Source organism: Homo sapiens, chromosome 2, assembly GCF_000001405.40.
Source record: "Homo sapiens chromosome 2, GRCh38.p14 Primary Assembly".
Lineage (NCBI taxonomy): Eukaryota > Metazoa > Chordata > Mammalia > Primates > Hominidae > Homo > Homo sapiens.
The window spans coordinates 207,483,634-207,489,336 of record NC_000002.12 but is presented as its reverse complement, the minus strand read 5'-3'; the positions used below and the strand labels follow the sequence as shown (position 1 = coordinate 207,489,336).

General features: G+C 41.7%; 2 annotated features.

The window, feature by feature from the left end:
- Positions 4,289-4,338: a silencer, noted in NCBI's record as "silent region_12275". NCBI's record gives its function as "represses an Ori minimal core promoter by ATAC-STARR-seq in GM12878 lymphoblastoid cells {active_cell/tissue: GM12878}" and the evidence as "EXISTENCE:reporter gene assay evidence [ECO:0000049][PMID:35858748]".
- Positions 4,569-4,638: an enhancer, noted in NCBI's record as "active region_17037". NCBI's record gives its function as "activates an Ori minimal core promoter by ATAC-STARR-seq in GM12878 lymphoblastoid cells {active_cell/tissue: GM12878}" and the evidence as "EXISTENCE:reporter gene assay evidence [ECO:0000049][PMID:35858748]".

The window sequence follows — 5,703 nt, the reverse complement described above, 5'->3', positions numbered from 1 at the left end:
GGAGGCTGAGGCAGGAGGATCACTGCAGTCCAGGAGTTCAAGACCAGCCTGGGCAACATGGCGAAACCCCATCTCCACAAAAAAAAAAAATACAAAAAGTACCAGTAGTGGCGCCTGTAGTCCCAGCCTCTCGGGAGGCTGAGATGGGAGTGTTGCTTGAGCCTGGGGGTTGGAGGTTGCAGTGAGTCAAGATTGTGCCACTGCATTCTGGCCTAAGTGACAGAGTGAGACCCTGTCTCAAAAACAAAAAAACAAAGTGAGAGAGGCAATGCTATGCTACTGGCTTTGAAGCTAGAGGAAGGAGTCATGAACCAAAAGAATGTAGGTAATCTCTAGAAACCAGAAAAGCAAGGACACAGATTGTCCTCTAGAGTTTCCAGAGAAAGCACGGCCCTGCCAACAACCTTGATTTTGGCCCAGTGAAGTCCACTTCAGACTTCTGACCTCCAGAGCTGTCAGATAATAAATCTGTAACAATAAATGTTGTTTTAAATAACTAAGTTTCTGTAGGCCATTGAAAACCACCTATGAAAAAATGTAATAAATAACTAAGTTTCTGGTAATTTGCTACAGCACCGATAGGAAACGAATACATGTGCCATATCTGAGAAGCTTTTCTTCATCACCTTTTCCCCCAGGGGCAAGTTAAGGGCCTCTCCTGCTCACTCCCTTACACTCTGATGTTTCTTTTCTGTGCCTCAGTTTTTCCACGTGTAAGACAAGTACTTACTTCACTGGATTCAGATGAGGATTAAATGAGTTAATATCCACGAAGTATTTAAAATAGTCACTTTCCCATAGTAAGTGCCCAATAAATGTTATTGTTATTATTACCCCATCACTGCCCACTTATCACACCATTGTATTTGCCGAATGAAGTAAGTGAGTGGGAATAGAGATTGAGGAGTATGATTAATATTTCCGCCCGTCTCGTGGGCCTGATCCCGGAAGAAAGGGATCTACCTTTCCAGGGCCTCAGCAATCGTTCCTTCTAGAACCTGACTACCAAATATGTTTTCCCCCTTTGTTTTGCCCTTTTGGAGGGTCTGTTTCCTGGGTTTCCTCTTGCACATCCCCCTTGGCTCCCTGCTCTATTGCCTGGAAGCCTGGGACCTCGCCACACTTACTGGCGGCTGCAGCTCCAGGAACCCAGCGTCCAAACCTTGAGTCCCTCTGCTGCTTTCAGAAGGGAATGTAGATCATTTCAAGAAAAAAGGAGAGGGATGAGTCAAAGAAGCGTAGATGGCTTCAAGCTGGCTGACTCAGAGAATGACTAAGAGAAGAAAACTGGAGAGGATGGGAGGACAGTAGCTGGAATGGCTTCCCTTGCTGGCTGTGTGTCCCCGGCACTCTATCCAGCTGCCCCAAGCCTCAGCTTACTGTCCTTCAAGTGCAGCTGATCACAGCACCTGCTTACAAGAGTATCATAAGGGTTAAAGGAAAAGTGACCCTTGAGCACTTAGCACAATGCCCCATCTGCACACAGCACCCTCTAAGTGTCAGCTGGCATTCATTTGAGTAGGAATGATGAGAAAAGGGTATGACCTGTAACAGCAATTTTCCAACTTTTTGGCCTCATAAGGTCTCCTTTATACTCTTAAAATATTATTGAGGACCCCAAAGAGCTCTTGCTTATATGTATATCTAGTAATATTTACCACATAAGAAATTAAAACTGAAACATTAAAAGTATTTATTCTTATAAGAACAATAATAGACCCATTATAGTTAACATGATTTAAAAATAAAACATAGTTAATTCTTCCAAAACAAAAATAATTCTGGTGGCATTGCTTTACATTTTTGCAAATCTCCTCAGTGTCTGGCTTAATAAAAAGATAGCTGGATCCTCATATCTGCATCTCTACTCAGTCTGTTGCAGTATCACATGTCACAAGTCAGATAGCCTCTGGAATACTCCACCGTACACTTGTAAAAGAATGAGAGTTAAAAAGGCAAATGACATCTTGGTATTATTATGAAATAGTTTTGACCTCAGTGACTACCTGTATAGATCTCAGAGGTCCCCAGAACACATTTTGAGAACCACTGACCTATAAGATCTTTTTGCAAAAATGTTTTTGCCGGGCGTGGTGGCTCACGCCTGTAATCCCAGCACTTTGGGAGACCGAGGTGGGCGGATCACAAGGTCAGGAGATCGAGACTATCCTGGCTAACACGGTGAAACCCTATCTCTACTAAAAATACAAAAAATTAGCCGGGCGTGGTGGCGGGCGCCTATAGTCCCAGCTACTCTGGAGGCTGAGGCAGGAGAATGGCGTGAACCCGGGAGGCGGAGCTTGCAGTGAGCCGAGATCGCGCCTCTGCACTCCAGCCTGGGTGACAGAGCAAGACTCCGTCTCAAAAAAAAAAAAAAAAAAAAAAAAAAAGAAAATGTTTTCAATCTGTGTATATAGACCATGATAAAAATGAGATTAAATATTACCTCCATCACATGGGCAAAAATGGAAAAGTTTGACAAAGATGTGAAAAGTGTTTCTGAGATGATGAAACACTGGAGCTCTCAACCTCTGTTAGTAGGAGTATAAATGGTATAAATTGGTTTGATTATTAATTGTTACTAAATTTCTCTTTAGAGTTAAAAATGCTCATATTCTATCATCCACTTATTCTGTTCCTTAGGAGAATTAAGAAACAAATTATGATATAGTTACGTAATTGATGACCACAATTGAAGACTATAATGAGTGGTAATAGTAATAGAATACCAATGAATAGAAACATATAATTCACATAATAGAATGCTGCAACTAAAAATGAATTAACTACAGCCATGTAAACATGAATGCATCTCAAAAACAGTGGTGAGCAAACAGTAAGAGATTCAAGTTCTGTGTACCATTTATTTTATTTTTTAAAAATTATTATTATTATTATTGTTATTCTTGAGACAGAGTTTCACTCTGTCACCCAGGCTGGAGTGCAGTGATATGATCTCGGCTCACCGCAACCTCCTCCTCCCAGGTTCAAGCAATTCTTTTGCTTCAGCCTCCCAAGTAGCTGGGACTACAGGTGTGTACCACCACGCCCGGCTAATTTTTGTATTTTTAGTAGAGACGGGTTTTCACCATGTTGACCAGGCTAGCCTTGAACTCCTGGCCTCAAGTGATCCTCTCACCTCGGCCTCCCAAAGTACTGAGATTATAGGCATGAGCCACTGTGCCTGGCCAGTGTACCATTTATGTAAAGTTTGAAAACATGCAAAGCAAAAATACATGTTGTTAATGAGCACATACATATGTAGTGAAAGTATATAGTCATGCATGGAATGAGAAACACCACATTAAGGACAATGGTTACCCATGAAGAATGAGATAATGAAATCAGGGAGGGGTCTTGGAAGGCCTTAACTATATTTGTAATGTTTTATTTATCTACTTTAAAAATTTGAATTAGAAAAACCTAAAGTGCTGCTTAAGCTGGGCAAAAGAATAAGGCAAGAAAAAAAGTCCAATAAAAATGACACTGACAAAAAAAATTAAAACTCTCTGCATAAAGCCTTTGGACAATGACCCCCAACCCTTTGCTCATGTTGGCTATATGGACAGTGCCTGGTTATGAGGAACTGGGTTTCAATTGTTCATTGGTGATTGATTGCAGGGTGCTTACCATGGATTTTCCCACAGCAGCAGTTAAGCACATTGCCTAAGTGCCTAGACTAGGCCCATCTATCCAGCTCACAGAAACCCATTAACTTTACAACCTGCCTAACCAATGGTAAGAGATCAGCAGGGTTGAGAGGTAGTTGACTGGGAAATTTGTTCTGACTTAGAGAGCCAGGAAGTTCCTCTCTCTGGCAGACCTGGCCTTATCCTTCCTCTACCTTCCTTTCCAGCCACGTATTGGGATAGGAGATTCTCATATTCCTGAACCAATCGAGGTTGGCTGGGGTAGAAACCCTCTCCAATAGGATAGGTCTGGGGTAGGTGAATGGTAGTGGAATTCGGGATCAGGAGATACAGAGATACGGGAGGGGCCAAATCTGCCAGCACAAATCCCTGAGTTGGAATAACTTTTATTTTTTATTTTATTTATTTTTATTTTTTTTTTGAGACAGAGTCTTGCTCTGTCACCCAGGTGATCTCAGCTCACTGCAACGTTCGTCTCCAGGGTTCAAGCATTCCTGTGACTCAGCCTCCTGAGTAGCTAGGATTACAGGCGCATGCCACCATGCCCAGATAATTTTTGTATTTTTTGTAGAGATGGGGTTTCACTATGTTTCCCAGGCTGGTCTTGAACTCCTGACCTCAAGTGATCTGCCTGCCTCAGCCTCCAAAAGTGCTGGGATTATAGGTGTGAACCACCCCACCTGGCCAAGTTGAAATAACTCTTGATTCTCAATCTGCTTTGGAGTCATCCCTCACTGATTTTCTGCTAAGACTTCTTTTACTTCCTCATTTACTGCTACGTGGTTTCTAACCTGACTTACCTCTTCTGTTCCACTGTTGAAAAAGCCACTGTGCCACGGAGCCTCCTGGAGCCTGCCACACAGTAGACACTCAGTTACTGGTGACTCCGTAATTTCCTTCTAGGTGGGGCTGAGGGTTTGGTTGGAAAGAAAGATTTGAAGATGTGTTTATATACATTTTACACAAGATGGAAGCAACATTAGTTGTCCCTCCCTACCAATCTCAACAAGTGTTAGCTCTCCTCCCCCACTTCCATTCTTCTCAGCGTCTGAAGTGAGCACTCAGCTTGGGGATTTGGCAAAGAAGGCAAAGACTAAAAATAAAAAGCAAAAGGAGAGTTAAGAATTTCAAGCATTCTCTAAGAGCCTCCATTAACCGTTGGTTCTGATATTCATTGAAACATAGGTCCAGCTCATTAAAAGTACCTTTGAATTATATTATAAGTTTTTTTTAAAACAATAATAACATATTTAAAAAGACTGCTTATCATTGGGCATTCCTTTTCAGCTCTTGTTACAATGATATATTTCAATAGCTATAGATTATAGGCACATATGCTTTTTATCTTCTTATTCTCTATGCTCCTACCTAGTTGTCATGCTTGTTTTTTAATGCCTGGCTATATTCTGTCAGTGGCTATTAACGGAGTAGAGAACATATGTTCTGGAGTTCTAACTCAGGAAGAGCATCAAGACCTCAGAGGGTTGATTCAATAATTAAAGGTCACAATAGATGTAGCATATTTACAATAGTATGTAGACAGCATAAAGGCTGACTAAATGTTGGCTGTTATCTATAACCATATCAACTCAATTAACTTCATCTTTCTTCTTTACAATGTAAGAGTAACTTTTGGTGGGGAGCGTGCAGGGTGAGGGCAAGAGTAGGGTCTCTGGGATGAGGCACTTGGAGAGGTGCCAGGGTCATTTAGTAATGCTACAGCAGATATTTTTTAAGCACTGCGTGTTTTTTTTTTTTTTTTTTTTTTTTTTTTGCCAGTTTAGCACCAGACACTGAGCAAGCCTCCTGGTCCTTGAAGTTACAAAAAATGAATGACATTTTCTGATCTCAAGTTGCTCAGTGTGTAGTCAGGAAGATGTGAAATGAGGAAACCGCACGTGGGAAGAATGTTCATCCCAGGAGGTCAGGCAGGAGCTAGACCCACACTGGGCTGATGCCCACACTGAACTGAGTAGGGTTCCTCCTAGGAATTGGTCAACTTTTTAGGCAATGACACAAGAAAAAATGCCTAGAAGCCAGATCATGAAGCAGG